At 35.1% G+C, this 17,579-nt stretch overlaps 1 protein-coding gene across 4 annotated transcripts in view; it reads left to right on the forward strand.

Moving 5' to 3' along the window:
• Positions 1–17,579, forward strand: part of CD2AP (CD2 associated protein) — a 149,475-nt gene that overhangs the window by 91,404 nt on the left and 40,492 nt on the right. For 3 of the 4 annotated variants that reach the window (NM_012120.3, XM_017010641.2, XM_011514449.3), the window contains 6 exons: positions 4,872–5,059; positions 7,332–7,410; positions 7,817–7,911; positions 10,193–10,297; positions 11,672–11,708; positions 12,811–12,873. In NM_012120.3, coding sequence (NP_036252.1) covers positions 4,872–5,059; positions 7,332–7,410; positions 7,817–7,911; positions 10,193–10,297; positions 11,672–11,708; positions 12,811–12,873 — 567 coding nt within the window. The remainder of the gene's footprint in view (positions 1–4,871; positions 5,060–7,331; positions 7,411–7,816; positions 7,912–10,192; positions 10,298–11,671; positions 11,709–12,810; positions 12,874–17,579) is intronic. The other variant, XM_005248976.2, reaches the window with a different exon arrangement.

Consider the following 17,579-nt stretch of genomic DNA (forward strand, 5'->3'; position numbering starts at 1 on the left):
GATCATCTTGACATACTAATGGCTGACAAGTAGGAGAGCAGTTGAAGATGGAAACTCAGAAGAATGGTGGTTATCAGCACAATAGAATTTATCCAGAAGGTGGAGGAAATGCGTTTCACATTATGGCTATTATGATTAGTCTCAATTTATTGGAGATAGATCAGAGTTAGTAGGCTTAATGGTAGGAAGCTGAGGAAGATATTTCTGACTTTTGATATCTTCTATAGAAAAGGAGTAATGTTACGAATAAGTTGCAAAGTGGTGAGGTCAGAATTTTGAGGAGATGAAGAGGTTCCAGCAGGGATTCTTAAATGTTTGTGCCATTTATCCCTCTAGGCTTTACCGGGCAACTAGATGGATGCATCACACAAAACATTTAAGAAACCCTGATGGATTGTTCTTCAAGAGTTCTAGTCTCTTACAGGTAGAAAAAGTTCATTTTCTTAGGAGGAGTCAGCTGAAGTTTTATTTGATTATTCAGGTTCTGGAATAGAAGAAAGTGCTCATTGCTGATGAGACACAGGATCCTGGGGAAATGGTTGTATACCTCGTGTGCCAAAGATAGTAGATAGAAATTTGTTAGTCTGCAGGCTAGTCACCAGGAGTCAAGGTATTATACAGTTTACCTTGGGGTCTGTAATCATATATTAGTATTCACCTTATACTCCTCCTGGTGAGCAGCTTTGCAAGGAAACTTTTTCTGGAGTTTTGATGCCCTTACTGGTAGTACGTTGTGGATCTTTCTAAGTTATTGCTAACAGCCAGACCTTCTTTCTATGTGTACTTTTTAGGAACTATGCAATATTGATTGATTTTAAGTCCAGTTAAAACACCCGCACCCACACCTGCATGATCGACTTACAAAATCCTTGAGAATAATGGTGAAAGATGACTTTAATGGTGAACTTGGATTGATTCTATTAAATGCTTTTTATTTTCATCAGATTTCTTTTTTTTTTTTAAGCTTTCAGTGCAGTTCACATGTGGTTTCTTGTTTCCGTTTTTCTCCAAACAAGTAATTGCATTTTGCAGTTCTTTTAAGTCACTTTATATGAAGATACAAGCCATCAAGTAGCTTTTGCTATAGAGATTTAATGAAGAAGGAGGAGGGAGGGTTTAGGCTCGATAGACAGATTTGCTGTTTGTTTTATGACTGATAGCAACATACATAAAATGCAGATGTTTTTCTTCAAGCATAGCAATTCAAGGACAATCAGATGGGTAAAGTATATGGGTATTAAAGTGTTAGAAGTACCATATAGATAAGGTTACTGTTTTGTCTCATTATGGCACCTCCTGCATGCCCTTTTTCCTCCTCCTTTTTCCTTTCTCCTTGCTCCTTATCCTCTTTTCTTCTTTCCAGTGGCTGTTTTCCCTTTTATACTTTACTGCTTCTTTGTGATCAGTGCTCTCTCTGTCACTTAATGGTTCTCAGTGATACATCTTTTAAAGTTTTAAAAAAATAATAGACACTGAGCCAGGCACTGTTTAAAGCACTTCACAGGAATAAATTAGTTTACTTCTCATAGCAATCCTGTGAAGTTCCCCATTTTACAGGCAAAGAGATTGGGCAAATATAATGGAGGGGGCAAGATATGAATCAAGAAAATTCGACCCTAGAGTTCATATACTTTACCGCTATACCATGCTGCCTTGCAACCATTGATTTAATAGCAAACGTGGTAGTAAAATTTGGTATTTTTCATTTAGCCAAAAATAGCCTATCCATTAGTACTGGACATTTTTGATATCTAGCCATCTATTTTAATGATATATATTTTAATGACTCTAATAAAGGTTACAGTCACTAAATCCAAACCCCCTTCCCTGCCTTTTTTTTTGTTTTATGGCCTTAATCAAATACTCAAACTGTGAAAATTGTACTTTAGAATAATCTCTTAAAGTTGTCTTTATCAATATATGATTTATTAATACCATGGATAGTTTCATTTTAAAAATGCCTTTTAGATATGCACCTAATATACTAATCTGTATCAGAATATTGCTTTGTCCAACAGGCTGGTTATTGGAGGTATATATTAAAACTATATAGAATACACTTCTGGCAATGCAGGAGCAAGATGGTATGGAATTCACTTTTCCACCATACAAACTTGAGAACTGGAGAAAATATAGGAAGCAAATTTTTCCAAAAAGTAGACTGCACAGGACTGGTATTCCTGAGAAAAGGGGAAAGAACAAGGGGAAAGGAGAGCTCTACCATTGTCCTAGGTTTCTGCCAGGAGCTAATTTCTGAACTGCATTATAAGGAAAGGGGACCTAACCACAGCAGAAGGCTATGGTTTTGTTGAGGATTGATCAAAATTCAGGGAAACAAAGGCAGTTAGAATTTTGTGTTGCTGAACACCTGAAGTGAGAACTATATGTAGAGAGCGCACCAGAACTGTTCTTGGGTGTTGTTTTGAGGGTTTAGCTGAGCACCAGTCTGTGAATGCATACAGTGAAACCCCAGAGACTGAACATGAGCAGCTTGTGAAGAAAGAGCAATTACTAGGGGTTAATATGAGCAATTTCTGGTATGCTTATACAAGGCCAAGAATTGAGTTCTTTCTCTCTAGATTTCAGAGATTTTATTGACTACATGGGCAATTCAGTAGAGAGGCGAAGTGGGGCTAAATTAGCCTTAGAATGGAGGTTGCTCTAATCCTACCCTAAAAAAGCTTCACACTAATGTGCAAATAACTTACCTGCTTGCCAGAAAAAAAAATTAAAAATTTGCCAGCACTCGTTAAAGTAGAACTTCTCAACCTTGTCACTGAAGATGTTTTGGGCTGGATAATTGTTTGTTTTCAGGGGCTCTCTGGCACATACAGGATGTTAAGAAGCATTCCTGATTTCTGCTAACTAGATGTCAGTAACACTCCCCCATTGTAATAACCAAACATGTCTTCAGTTATTGCCTCATGTCTCTTGGAAGGCAGAATCCACCCTGACTGGAAATAACTGTTGTAAAGGATTACTGTAAAATTTAACATTCAACAACATCAAAATTTTAAATAAGTACTAGGTATATCAAGAAGCAGGGGCCGGGCGCAGTGACTCATGCCTGCGCCCGGATCCACTGCGATGGTGTACAAGTGCTGGGTGACGAATTGTTCTGTATCTTGTTGTATTTACATGGTGCGACATTTGTCAAACATTACTGAAATGCATATTTAAAACGGGTTCATTTTATTCATTGTAAACATTCTCTCAATGAAGTTGAATGTTAAAAATATATTACAAAACTGTCTTCTCCACTTCAGTCTTCTGTGTGACTTAGGATAATATTGAAAATGGTTAGGGTAGATCACTATACTTGTTAGCATTATATTTCTTAAGTTAATAACTTGTTTTGGCAAGCCACCTGTAAAATGGTCATTTCGATAGATGCAAAAAGATTCTCACGTTTGATTGGAGACTTTTCTGGTCTGAGCCATTATATTAAATTGTTTAAGACTGTGGTTTTGGGGTCATCTAGAATTCACTTCAAAAATTGACTTTGTTACTGACTACCTGTAGGTCCCTGGGAAAGTCATTAATATCCCTTTGTCCAAGTTTATTTATTTGTAAAATGAGGAGTAATAGTGCTGAATGTTAAGAAGCTCATGTGGGCTTATAAAAATGAGATAATTCATATGCGGTGCTTAGCCAAATGCCTGGTACAGAATTAGCTCTGAATAAATGGTAACTACTATTTTTATTGTCCCTATTGTTCTTACTGTTATTTTTTAACAGACTACCTTAGTTCAGTGAACTGTTACCACATATTTTTCCTTACCCCGTACCCCCGGTCTTAAATGTTTCTGGATTTTTACTCTAGAACTTTGTTTCTTACTTAGATTATAAGGCTCTTTGAGGATCTGATGAAAGCTGTACCTGTTTTATCCAGAAAAAAGTACATAAAAATAACCACACAGTTTTCCGTAGGGTTGTTTGTGGACTCATTGAGCCTATAAATAAGAACCCTTGTTACTGAGCAAGAATGTAAAAACGCTGTTACCCATATAATGTTAAACTTAAAAATTTTTTATTATTATATAGTAATTGAGTTTCCATTGACTGCTTTGAAATTAGACCTGTTACCTAATCTCTGAGCTAAAATAACAGATTATGAACTATTGACCTTTTTAAAATAAACATTTTTGAACATTCCCAGTTTTATATTGAGAAACTCATGCTAACTTTGATTGGATTGAATCATATAGCTTTAAAAAATAATCTTATGTCTTTATTGTTTGTCTCACATTATATCATCTTTGGCCAAAAGCTATAAATTGACATGCTGTGTGTTTTTTTTTTTTTTTTTTTTTTGAGACGGAGTCTTGCCCTGTCGCCCAGGCTGGAGTGCAGTGGCGTGATCTTGGCTCACTGCAAGCTCCACCTCCCAGGTTCACGCCATTCTCCTGCCTTAGCCTCCCGAGTAGCTGGGACTACAGGCACCTGCCACCATGCCCGGCTAATTTTTTTATATTTTTAGTGGAGACGGGGTTTCACCGTGTTAGCCAGAATGGTCTCGATCTCCTGACCTCGTGATCTGCCAGTCTCAGCCTCCCAGAGTGCTGGGATTACAGACGTGAGCCACCACAACATGCTGTTTTTAAGGACCTCGTATGACATGATTTCCTAATTAGGATTTCTTAATTTTACTAATTAAATTTACCTAAAATTATTATCGTTTTGCACAATAAAAAAGTCTGTGTAAATTGCATAAATTGCATCTTGCTCTTCTGGATATTTCAGTACTGAATAGTTTAATTTTTTTTCTACTGTGTTTTATTAGAAGGCATATAGAATGTAGACATTATGACAGGATGTCAAGCGTTTTGTGATTCTAGGTGTCATTCTTCAAAAACAAATTATTGTTTCAGAAACTGTTTTGGCTGGGCCTACTTCACCTATACCTTCTCTGGGAAATGTGAGTGAAACTGCATCTGGATCAGTTACACAGCCAAAGAAAATTCGAGGAATTGGATTTGGAGACATTTTTAAAGAAGGCTCTGTGAAACTTCGGACAAGAACATCCAGTAGTGAAACAGAAGAGAAAAAACCAGAAAAGGTGGTAATGATGGACTTGTTAGATTAACTCCACTCATTCTCTCATTAAGCATTTTTTAAAATGTAAAAGTCAGTTTGTAACTCTGTTAGATTTCTTTTTTTCAGATCACTAATAATTTGGTTATGAATGAGGAGGCTGTGAGAAATTTTGTCTCCAAATTTACAATGATTAATATTCATGTTTGAATCTAATAAAATTAGAATGCTTATTTCTTGGTAAATTTAACACACTTAGTAGAAGCTTTAGGGTTTTTAGTTAGCACAGTGTAAATAAAAATTAGAGGGTTTTTTGCCTTTTAAAGCTAAAATTATATATAAATTTAGTTATATATATAATTAATATAATAAATATATATTTAATTTGAATTAGACCTAAAATGGACTGTTTTTAAAATGGATTTAGAAAATATTAAATTACTTGATATTTTGGCACTACTTAAATTTCCTCTAGATTGTCAACATTCATTAAATTTACTAAACTTCTTTGAATGTGTGGAGTATTTTATTTCATTAGCATTTTGCTGGCATTGTGAAATGAAACCAAGTAAGTGAGCCATAAATTATAAGAACTAAAAAGAGGCTTTAAAATAAAACCTTAAGCTGTTAATTTGGTGGTAAAATAGCTACAGTCTGTAGAACATTTTTTCACAGTTCCTTCTATCAGTCCTATCTCTTTAACTCTGAAGAAATTATAGTATTTCAGTATTTATTTGATTCGTGTAGCTACATCTCATTTAAAGACTGTGTTTTGGTTATTGAGATACTATTAAGTTTCCTCCTAAGATAGGTGGTTTCAACTTTTTTTATTCCTTTCCTAACTTGCTACGTATTTTCTTATGTAGCAGTGAAGAGTTGGGTTCAGGAAAGAGAACTTCCACTTTCTATCCTACATATTCCTAGCTCTGAGACTATCTGGCATTAGGATTGTGGGGTCAAATTGATTCTTGGTTTTAAAGGTAAAGTTTGGAATTCTCATGGTTTTTGGGGTGGTGCTCTATAGCCATGTAACAGCTAGGAATGTTGGACAAGCAATTCTTGGCATTGTGATAGAAATTAGACTAGATGATCTTGTGCCCCTTCTAACTCTAAAGCTTAGGATTATATTGAATAACTTTAGTTGATTAATGATTATATTATCTTTTAATCATCCTTGATAATGTCTACTACTCAAGAGTTGTTATTAGTGACTGTAGTCTCAGGGTTACCCTATATAATGGTCTGGTCAGGCTTGCTTTGATCACTGATCCAGGAATTGATAAAATAGGGAGCACATTTGCTGTGTTTGTAGGTGCACCACAATATGGTGTTTAGAGTTGGGGAAAACTAAAGTAAGTATTTTAGAAGATAACAGAAGACACAGTAGTAGGTAGGTAAGTTAGCAGTGTGTTCAGATTTTTAAATAATGACATCTAAGGTTAAATGTACTGTTGTTTCTGGGTTAAATTACTGTTAAATAATAAGGTTAAATTACTGTTGTAATCTGTTAGTCCTTTACAGATTACAATGGAAAAATGTCTAGTAGACTGTAGCTATAAGGAACATAAGATTACCTGAATCATTTACATTCAGATAGCAATGAAGTATAAAGAGTTTTTTTTTCTCCTCTTTCATTTTAAGGTTTAGTTCTGGGTTAAAATCTGGGCTTTGCTGCTAAATTCCTTTTACTATGGACAGATGACTTATACAAATTTGTATTATTGTTTGAATAGTGCCCACTTAATGCAGATAGTTATGAGGCTACTAGTCCTATTTGCACTATTTATATAAAGTGTTTAGCCCAGGGATTTAAGTTCTCAAGTGCTGTTGTTTTTATTTATTGTATTTGTTTTATTGTAGTTTTTAGAGATAGGGTCTCACCATGTCATCCAGGCTGGAATGCAGTGGTACAATCATAGCTCACTTATAACCTTGAACTCCTGGTTTCATGCAGTTCTCCTGCCTTGGCCTCCCTAAGTGTTGGGATTCAGACATGAACCACTGGTTCCTAGCCTCTTATTTATTTTAGAGATTCTAAAATTAAATCTCATTAATATACTATGGACGTCAGAGAATATTATCTTTGAGACAAGGAATCTTTAAATTGGTAGCTCTGAGCTATGATTTAAGGAACTTTGGAGACCTTTACCTGTTTCATTGCTAAGTTTTCAGTCACATTACTATCCTAGCTATAAGTACCATTAGGGAAAGCTGGGTAACTGTAAATGGAAACTTTGTTTAACAGTATTATCTTTATTCTATCTTAAAATAGTTTATGCCATTTTTTTCTATTCTAGCCCTTAATCCTACAGTCACTGGGACCCAAAACTCAGAGTGTGGAGATAACAAAAACAGATACCGAAGGTAAAATTAAAGGTATGTTTTTGAATAAAGCTTTCATATTGGGAATAGTAGAAACATACTCAAATGTATTAAGAGACTTGTTGGAAGCATTTGTTACACTGTCTTATTAGAATAGCAAATTCTATTAGATGTAAGCACCATGAGGTCAAGGATTTTGATATACTTTGTTGGTTGATGGATGTATCTCCTTGTAGTTGAATCTGTGCCTGGAACATCACAAACAGTAAATATTTGAATGAATGGATTAATGAAATTGTTACTTAACATACGGTATTGACTATAAGTATTTTAAAATTTAAAGATAATTAAGTTCATCTCTAATAACTTTTAGTATACTTTACACAAGATAGAGGCTAAATAAGTATTTGTTGAATGAATCCATTTGTGTGAGCCACATTATTTACATTCTTTATTTCAGCTAAAGAATATTGTAGAACATTATTTGCCTATGAAGGTACTAATGAAGATGAACTTACTTTTAAAGAGGGGGAGATAATCCATTTGATAAGTAAGGTAAGGTGTTTCTGTTTTTCAGTGAATTGCTTAATTTATTTATAGAAATATTTTTCAAAAGTTATACATTCACCCTAGAGTGTTCTTATATTCACCCTGGAATCTAGAAGAGCTGGGACTTTGTCTTGTTTCTAAGTCCTGAAAACTTGGCACGTAATAAGTGCTCAGAACGTTCTCTTTTTGAGCTAACTTTTATTGACTATATTTGTTGTAATTTACATATTGGGAATTATTGTTAACCATCATATTTGTTCTTTTTTAAGTACTTTTTTTTTAAAATTAACCTCAACTTCCCAGGTTTTTATTCTTACTTCTCTTCCACCTCATTCTATTTTTTCTCCTGTCTGTCGTTTGGAGTGTTGTTTGTAATGTAAACAGAAGAAAAATAGGGAAACAAGCTAAACATCCATGAGTATGGAAATGGTTCTGAAACTCTTTTTACTCTGGAAAATGATGTCACCATTTTAAAGAATGAAGTGATTTTATAACTTGGAATAAATCCTAATGCAAAATAAAGAGAAAACCCAGTACTACTTGTGTGTGGGCAGAATCCTATAATAACTAGTATTATGGGAAAATTACAAATATTTTGTTTTTGCTATAACCCTGTAGAATAATTTTTGAAATTCTGCCCCCCACCCCCAACCTTTTTTAAGTAGAAATGGAGTCTTGCTATGTTGTCCAGGCTGGTCTCAAACTCTTGAGCTCAAGCATTCCTCTCGCTTTGGCCTCCCAAAGTGCCGAGATTACAGGTGTGAGCTACCACACCTGGCCCCATTGTTTTACACTGACTTTGTTATAAGATGTCATAGTGTATATAATTTTTTTTAAAAATAAGTTTTATTGTGTAAAGTATAATGATGTTATAGGATACGTAGTAATAAAAAGGTTATTATAGTGAAGCAAATTGACATCTGTCATCTCACATAGTTACCTTTTTTGTTTTAGTGGCAATAGCAGCTAAAATCATTTAGCAAGAATTTTATAAATGTATGTGAATTTTCATATTAATATAATTTGCACTGATTACACCTAATTTTTCATGCAAGGGTGGTGGGTATTTAGAAGAAACTTAGAAGGTCTTGTTAATTAAAAAAAAAGAAAAAGAAAAATTAAAGACAAGGTCTAGCTTTGTCGCCCAGGCTGGCGTGCAGTGGTGTGATCATAGCTCAATGCAGCCTTGAGCTCATGGGCACAAGTGATCCTCCTGCCTCAGCCTCCTAAGTAGCTGAGACTACTACAGTTGCATCCCATTGCGCCTGATTAATTCTTTTTTCAAAATTTTTTTGTAGAGACAGGGTCTTGCTATGTTGCCCAGGCTGGTGTTGCAAACTCCTGGCGTCAGGCAATCTTCCCACATCAGCCTCTGAAGTTACTGGGATTACAAAGCATGAACCACTGTGCCTGGTCAAATCGTGTTAATTTTTAAAGCAGCTGAATAATGTGATTAATTTTTAGTATATAAAGTGTTAAAAGTGTTAAGAAGGATACAGTTTAGAAATTCATATTCTCCCTCTCCACCTTCCTCTCTTTTCCACTTCCTTTCATTATATCTTTTTTTTTTTTTTGAGATGCAGTCTCGCTCTGTCACCCAGGCTGGAGTGCAGTGGTGGTGTGATCTCGGCTCACTGCAGCCTCTGCCTCCCGAGTTCAAGCAATTCTCCTGTCTCAGCCTCCTGAGTAGCTGGGACTACAGGCGCCTGTCACGATGCCTGGCTAATGTTTGTATTTTTAGTAGAGACGGGGTTTCACCTTGTTGGTCAGGCTGGTCTCAAACTTCTGACCTCAGGTGTTCCACCCACCTCAGCCTCCTAAAATGCTGGGATTACAGGTGTGAGCCACCGTACCCGGCCTCATTTTATCTTTCTCTTTTTTCCTCTGAGAACATTTTAACGTTATAAATGGAATTTTAAAATTGATATAGTTTTTAAAACTAAACGCAATTTTGTAACTGCTGCTAAAAGTAATACGTGGGAAATATTTTCTTTTAGGACAGTGTGATCTGTTTAGTTCCAGCCAGGCACAGTGGCTCATGCCTGTAGTTCCTGCACTTTGGGAGACCAAATCAAGAGGATCATTTGAGCCCAGAAGTTTATGATTGCATTCCTGTGGTCCCAGCCACTTGGGAGGCTGAGTTGGGAGGATCACTTGAGCCCAGGAGGTTGAGGCTGCAGTGAGTCATGATCGCATCACTGCACTTCAGCCTGGCCAACAGAGCAACACTTTATCTTAAAAAAAAAAAAAAGGTCTATTGTCTTAATTATTCTATTTTGCTTTTTAGGAGACTGGAGAAGCTGGCTGGTGGAGGGGCGAACTTAATGGTAAAGAAGGAGTATTTCCAGACAATTTTGCTGTCCAGATAAATGAACTTGATAAAGACTTTCCAGTAAGCTTTTGTTTTTCAATGATGATAATACTTGAAAGAACATTTTGCCACTATTCTTTTGCAAACAAGTTTTTTTGCATTATTATTGAATAATTTTTATGAAGGAGTTTCAGATGTAGCTATTCAGGTAGGAGTTATTTGAGTTATAGTAAAACAAAATAATGTTTCAGTTCCGTACTTTATTCTTCCTTTGTTTCTTTCTCGACTGTACTGAAAAATAACCTTAGACTTCTTTATTTTATAATTTAAGAAGGGCTGTCTATCCTAATAACATAAATTAGTACTTTCCTGGAAGAAATTGTATTTTTATTTAATGTTGTTGAAAAGCTCTAGTTTATTTTAAGGTCTTGTGGATATTGCTGTTATGCTGTTGGTGCATTTTTTTGGGAGGGCAAGAGCACTCTGCCTCCTTACAGAATTTGTTATTTTTGTGTCACTTCTCAGAGAAAAAGTGAGGCTGAGTCATTCATCAGTGGTCTTTTGCCTTCCTACAACTTGGTCCCTTTTCCCCATGGATGAGGAATATAATAGAGTTTTTAGAATAGAGGGAAAGAGCATCAACACAAGCACACAACAGGATGGGCTACCATGTTAGGTTTAAGCCAATGCATAACTCTCCAACTCTATGGAAGCTTAGGCTGTCTGAGGCCTTTGTTTTGTTAGATTGCATTCAGTATTGATTCAGCCTTCATATGCTTTATTTTATAGTTTTACTAAAGAATACGTTTTTCTGCTTTTATTATGTTTGTACATTACGGCTTATCAATTATTCTTAATTTGTAAAAACCAAGTCCACCAACTTAGAAGTGTATATCAATATTTTAAGGTATTAAGTCTTAAAAATGAGCGAATGTTTATAAATTGAGAAAAAACATGTCTTTGCCTTTAACTGTTCCTTTGAGAGTTCCAAAGAGTTAAGAGTGAAAACTAAGTCTATTTGTTGCTACTCTGTTTTTAAAAACCAAAACAAAACAAACAAAAAAAAAAACGGTCTCTCCCTTGTTCTGCCAGTCTTCCTCTCCCCACAACCCCAGCTGCAAAAGAGGGGTAAAATGGTACTTAGGAATCTTAACCTAGGGGAGGCAGAGCAGAACATTTTTGCTCATTAAGATTTTTAAGGTTTATTCAATCCACTGAAATATGGATTGAGATATTTGACTGAATTTTGACCAATGAGGCTGTTTTTTCTAATGAAATAATTTGTTGTCATTGACTTTTTGGGTAGTTTTTACGATCTTAGCATTTTATATTTTGTCAAGGATTGAATGAAGAGGAGAGACATTTGTATAATTTAGATTATTACTAATTAGAGTTTATTTTAACTATATTTGATATGAAACTGGTCAGCCGTTTCCACCATTATTATTTTAACAGAAACCAAAGAAACCACCACCTCCTGCTAAGGCTCCAGGTATGTAAGAAGCATATTATTCAGTTTGCTATTTTCCATTTTTTAAAATTCTAAAATGGTAAAATTGGATCTAATGCAAACTATTGATTTTTATCAAGTATGATGTCTGTAAACATTTTTAGAAATATATGAAAATTGAGTGTTCACATGCATTAGTATCTGTCATTTTTCTTAAAGTACAAATGGTATAAAATAGGGATCTTGAAAATGTAGATACTTTATATGTAATTTTGAGTTAATAAAATTAATCAAATTTAAACTGTTTTAGAAAACTTAATATATTGACCTGGCCAACTAGTTATTCTACCGTTTCAAATGAAATCCATTTGTTAATGTCTCAAATAATAATTTATGTACTCTTCTTTTCAGGGAATATGCTGAAGGTTAAACAAAGTAGATGATTTTAAACAGATGAATAAATTATGGTAGACCTAGAAGTGTCTTCAAGAGTTAAAGTTTTGTAATCTGGCTCTTTGCTTCCATAATTTTCGAATAATTGATCTTTACAAGTGTAATAAAAATTTCTATTTCCTAAAAGATTTGCTGTTTTTTTAGAATAATTCAAGTCTTTTTGTCGCCCTTGGTTTTAGCTTTATATTTGCTGACCTAATCCTAGAGCAAAGAAAACATAAGTTAAAAGTAATTTTTATAGAAGTTGGTGTTGAAAGCTTTTTATATAGCTTTACTCTTCAATGTGGTAGCCACTAACCATGTGTGGCTTTTAAACTTAAGATTAAATAAAATTTAAAAATTCAGTTTCTCAGTCATAGGAGTGCCATTTCAAGTGTTCAGTAGTCACATGTTGGATACTGAAAAAATAGAATGTTTTCATCACCACAGCTCTTCCATACTGCAGTACGGTAGAGGATATGATCTCTAACACCTAAATTTGACAAAGAAGGAACTGAGACCACAGAGTAGGGTAATAGTGGCAGGTCCAGGATTAGAAATTGAGCCTGGTAATTCCGGTACATTGTTCTTTCTATTAAACCATGGTTTCATCTGATGTTATTTTTCAACTCATCTTTACTTTTTAGAAGTGTAATTGTCTCTGTGCTTTAAAACTGTCTTCTTAAAAAAGTATTAATGTTTTTTCCCATAGCTCCAAAGCCTGAACTGATAGCTGCAGAGAAGAAATATTTTTCTTTAAAGCCTGAAGAAAAGGGTGAGGCTAATTTTCAACTTTCAAAAAAGCAATTATTTCTTTTATTGTCATTTTAAAGAGAATTATTTCTCCACACTGAGTTATTTACACTGATTTTTAACAGGTATTCAGTATGTATTTAACAATGCTTGGAGTTTTCTGGGAGGGAGTAGTTCATTTCTCAAACAGATAACAATTTACATTCATTAAAAAATTAAACTATTCAGTAGGATGTTGTCTTTATTCAGTTATTTCACAGACTGTATAAGAAAACTAAGCATTAAATAACTATGCTTTTATTATTTTTATAGTGTTTCAGTTTTTAAAAAATTCCTTAGAATGTTGAAGACCCAGTTCCTACTTAAGCATGAAAATAATTAATTACATATTATTTAATCTCACTGCATGTGTTTGTCATAATGTAAACCTGGAAAGTTATTCCAGGGTACCACATGTATTTTGCTAAAAACCTTATTGGTTTGTTGTGAATTTGGAGAAAATAAGTCCTTCTCATTGCACATAAAGATTTGCAATGATTGTCACTAGTAGATTAGTTTATATACATCAAGAAACTTGAATACTATTTTAGAATGCTTTTTGTTTCTTCCTCCAGTGTTGTAGTCTAATCCATCCTTGTTTCTTGCCTAAAGTATTGTATCCTCTTACTTGATTTCTCTCACTTTAGCTCCTTTTCTGGCTCATACTTCATGTTGTTGCCAGGATCATGTTTTTTTTGTTTTTTTTTGTTTTGTTTTTTTTTTTTTGTCTCGCTCTCTGGCCCAGGCTGGAGTGCAGTGGCGCAATATCGGCTCACTGCAAGCTCCGCCTCCTGGGTTCATGCCATTCTCCTGCCTCAGCCTCCTGAGTAGCTGGGACTACAGGCACCCGCCACCACGCCCGGCTAATTTTTTGTATTTTTTAGTAGAGGCGGGGTTTCACCATGTTAGCCAGGATGGTCTCGATTTGCTGACCTCGTGATCCACCCACTTCTGCCTTCCAAAGTGCTGGGATTACAGGTGTGAGCCTCCGTGCCTGGGCCAGTATCATTTTTTTAAGGAGACTGTTTTTTAGAGCAGTTTTAGGTTCACAGCAAAATTGAGCCAAAAGTACAGAGTTCCTGTATACTTCCTTTCTTCACACAGGCACAATTTTTCCCACTGTTAACATTCTGTACCAGAGTGGCATATTTGTTAAAATCAGTGAGCCTTCCTACATTGACACTTCTTTATCACTCAAAGTCCATAGTTTCCTTTAGTGTTCACTCCTAGTGTTGTAACTATTATGGATTTTGACAAATGTATAATGTCCTGTATCCACCATTGTAGTATCATACAGAATAGCATTACTACTCTAAAAACCTTCTTTATTCTACCTATTCATCTGTCCTTCCCTTCAACCCTTGTCAACCATTAATTTTTTTAATGACTCCATAGTTTTGCCTTTTCCAGAGTGTCATATAGTTAGAATCATACAGCACGTAGCCTTTTCAAATTGGCGTCTTTCACTTAATTATATGCCTTTAAAATTTCTCCGTATGTTTTCATGGCTTGGGAGGCATATGTTGTTAGCATCAAATAATATTTCAATGTCTTTATATTCCACAGTTTATTAATCCACTCACTCACTGAGGGACATCGTGATTGCTTCTAAGTTTTGGCACTTATAAGGGGAGCTGCTATAAATGTGTGTAGGTCTTTGTGTGGACATATTTTCTATTCATTTGGGTAAATACCAAGGAGAGGGATTACCTGATAATATGGCAAGAGTATATTGAGTTTTGTAGGCGCAACTGCCAAACTTCTTCCAATGTGGCTGAACCATTTTGTACTCCCCCTAGTAATCAGTGAGAATTTCTGTTCTACGTTCTAGCCAGCATTTGGTATTTTAAGTGTTTTGGATTTTGGCCTTTCTAATAGGTGTGTAGTGGTATTTTACTTTTGTTTTCAGTTGCAATTCCGTAATGATATATGATGTTGAATATCTTCTCATATGCTTAATTGTCATTTGTATATCTTTGGTAAAGTGTTCTGGTCTTTTGTTCATTTTTTATTCAGGTTTTTTTTCCTTCAGTTTCTTTCTTTGTATATTTTGTATAGCAATCCTTTAGTAGATGTCTTTTGCAAATATTTTCTCCCAGTCTGACTTGTTTTCTTCACAGAGCAGAAGTTTTAAATTTGATTGAAGCTTATCAATTACTTCTTTTATGGATCATGGCTTTGGTGTTGTATCTAAAAAGTCATTGCCATACCCAAGGTCATCTGGATTTTCTCCTGTGTAATCTTCTAGGAATTTTATAGTTTTGTGTTTTACATTTAGGTTTGTGATTCATTTTGAGTTAATTTTTGTGAAAGTTGTAAGGTCATTGTCTAGATTCATTTTTTTTTTTTTTTGGCATGTGAATGTCTAGTTGATCCAACACCGTTTGTTGAAAAGACTTTCAGTTTTCAGATAAAAATCAAAAGTTCAAATTCAAGGCCCTCCAGTAACTAACTGACCCCCCGATTACATTTTTGATATCATCTTCCACCCTTTTTGTTTACTAAATGTAGCACTCACTCTCTAGTCCCTAAATATGTCATGTACTTTCCTAGCTTTATCTTTCGTTTTACTTTCAAAATGGAAGTTTTTTTATATTCTTTTTTTATACTTAAGAATTTTAAAAATATGCTGCACAAACAATTTATGCTTAATAAAAATATTAGTCTCAGATTAATTCTTTGTGAACTAGTTAGGTAGGAGTCTTAGATCAGTTTTTAGTACTTGTTTATAATATCTGTCCTACCTGAAAAACTCAGCTTACCAAGATATGTAGAACCACATGTAAGAGGTATATTGCTGGCTTTATTATCTATTTTTTTACTATTAAAAAAAATCATGTCACCAGTTAGTCAGCAGTTTTGTTAAAATTCAGATAGTGACTTCCCCTTTTCCCTAAAATCAGTCAGTTGTTCTTATAAATAAATTGGAGGCCGGGCGCGGTGTCTTACGCCTGTAATCCCAGCACTTTGGGAGGCCGAGGTGGGCGGATCATGAGGTCAGGACATTGAGACCATCCTGGCTAACACGGTGAAACCCCGTCTCTACTAAAAATAAAATAAAAAAAAAAAAACCAGCTGGGTGTAGCGGCGGGCGCCTGTAGTCCCAGCTACTCAGGAGGCTGAGGCAGGAGAATGGCGTGAACTCGGGAGGCGGAGCTTGCAGTGAGCCGATATTGCGCCACTGCACTCCAGCGTGGGCGACAGAGCAAGACTCCGTCTCAAAAAAAAAAAAAGGAAGGTGATGCATTTTTGTTACTTTTATCTATGCAAAATCCTGCCCATGGTGGAATGACAGGGACCGAATTTACACTCCTGAGTTAAACAACTGGAAAATTGGACAAAATGTATGAAACAGTGGCTTTCACATATCGGACATCAGACAGTATAAGTCACTGTGACACTGAAGTGAGACCTATAATTACCACAGCTTATTGTCTAGAAGCAGTTTACAGGCAGCAGAAAGGAGGAAGCCAAACAGACCTCGATGTCCTACAGAGTTGAGGATGCAGAGATAGGTATTTAGGAAGGCCCGGGCAGCTACAATTTGTGGGGCAGAGTGCCAGAGTGGTGGGAACTGCACAGCGAGTACTCAGATCTGTAGACAGCTTACTGTGAGGCTTTGCCTGAATATTGATCTACACATGCATGAAAAGAAATTTCCATAATGGAGAAATAACCATTGGAAAGCAATAGGTGAAGCACTCTTTGTAACTCACAAACAGTTCATTTTTCCATGAGCCAGAGTAGAAAGATCTCATAATATATAGCACATTGGATAGAGTTCATAAAACAGTGTATCACCTTAGACTAAAGGTTTCTCTGCCTCTATCTTGGAAATACGGCCAACAAATTCCAGAATAAAATTTGGTACAACTTAAAAGCATATAATGAAATTTTGTATTCAAGAGAGTAAAAATCACGGCGTCCATTGTCTGATTAAAGATTGCCAGGCATAGAAAGAGCAAGAAAATAGCAATACACAACCAGGGAAGAAAAATCAGTCAGCAGAAAAGAGCAAGAAATGACAGAGATGGTGGAGATAGAAGGCAAGTACATTAAAACAGCTATGATAAACGTTTCCCATGTGTTTAAAAAGGTAGAAGAAAATGTGAACATTACAGTGCAAAAACTGGAAAATATAAGAAAGACCCAAATTGAACCTTTAGAAAAGAATAATACAGTATCTGAAATGAGAAACACTGAATGGAATGTCCAGTAGAGTGGAAACTGCAGAAGAAAATGTTAGTGAACTTGAAGACATAGCAAATAGAACCATTAAAAATGTATAGAAAAAAAGTGAACAGAATATTGGTTACCTGAGTGACAATATCAAGTGGTTTTACTTACCTGTAATTGGGGTACCTAATGGAAAGGTGAGAGAATGGGGACATGAAAAAACTTAAAGAAATAATGGCTGAAAATTTTAATTTGATGCAAATTTATGACAAAAAGCTTAAAGCCAGGAAGAAAATAACTGTCAACCTATAGTTTTCTACCTAACAAAAATACCTTTTGGGAATGGGTCAAAATTAAAACCTTTTGAGACAAAATCTCAGAGAACTTATTGCCAGTAGAACTGTATTACAGAAAATGTTAAAAAATTACTTTTGGTAGAAGGAAAACGATACTAGATTGGCAGTTGGTATTACTCAAAGCAATGAAGAATGCCAGAAGTAGTAAATATGTGAA

This window comes from Homo sapiens, chromosome 6 (genome assembly GCF_000001405.40).
Source record: "Homo sapiens chromosome 6, GRCh38.p14 Primary Assembly".
Lineage (NCBI taxonomy): Eukaryota > Metazoa > Chordata > Mammalia > Primates > Hominidae > Homo > Homo sapiens.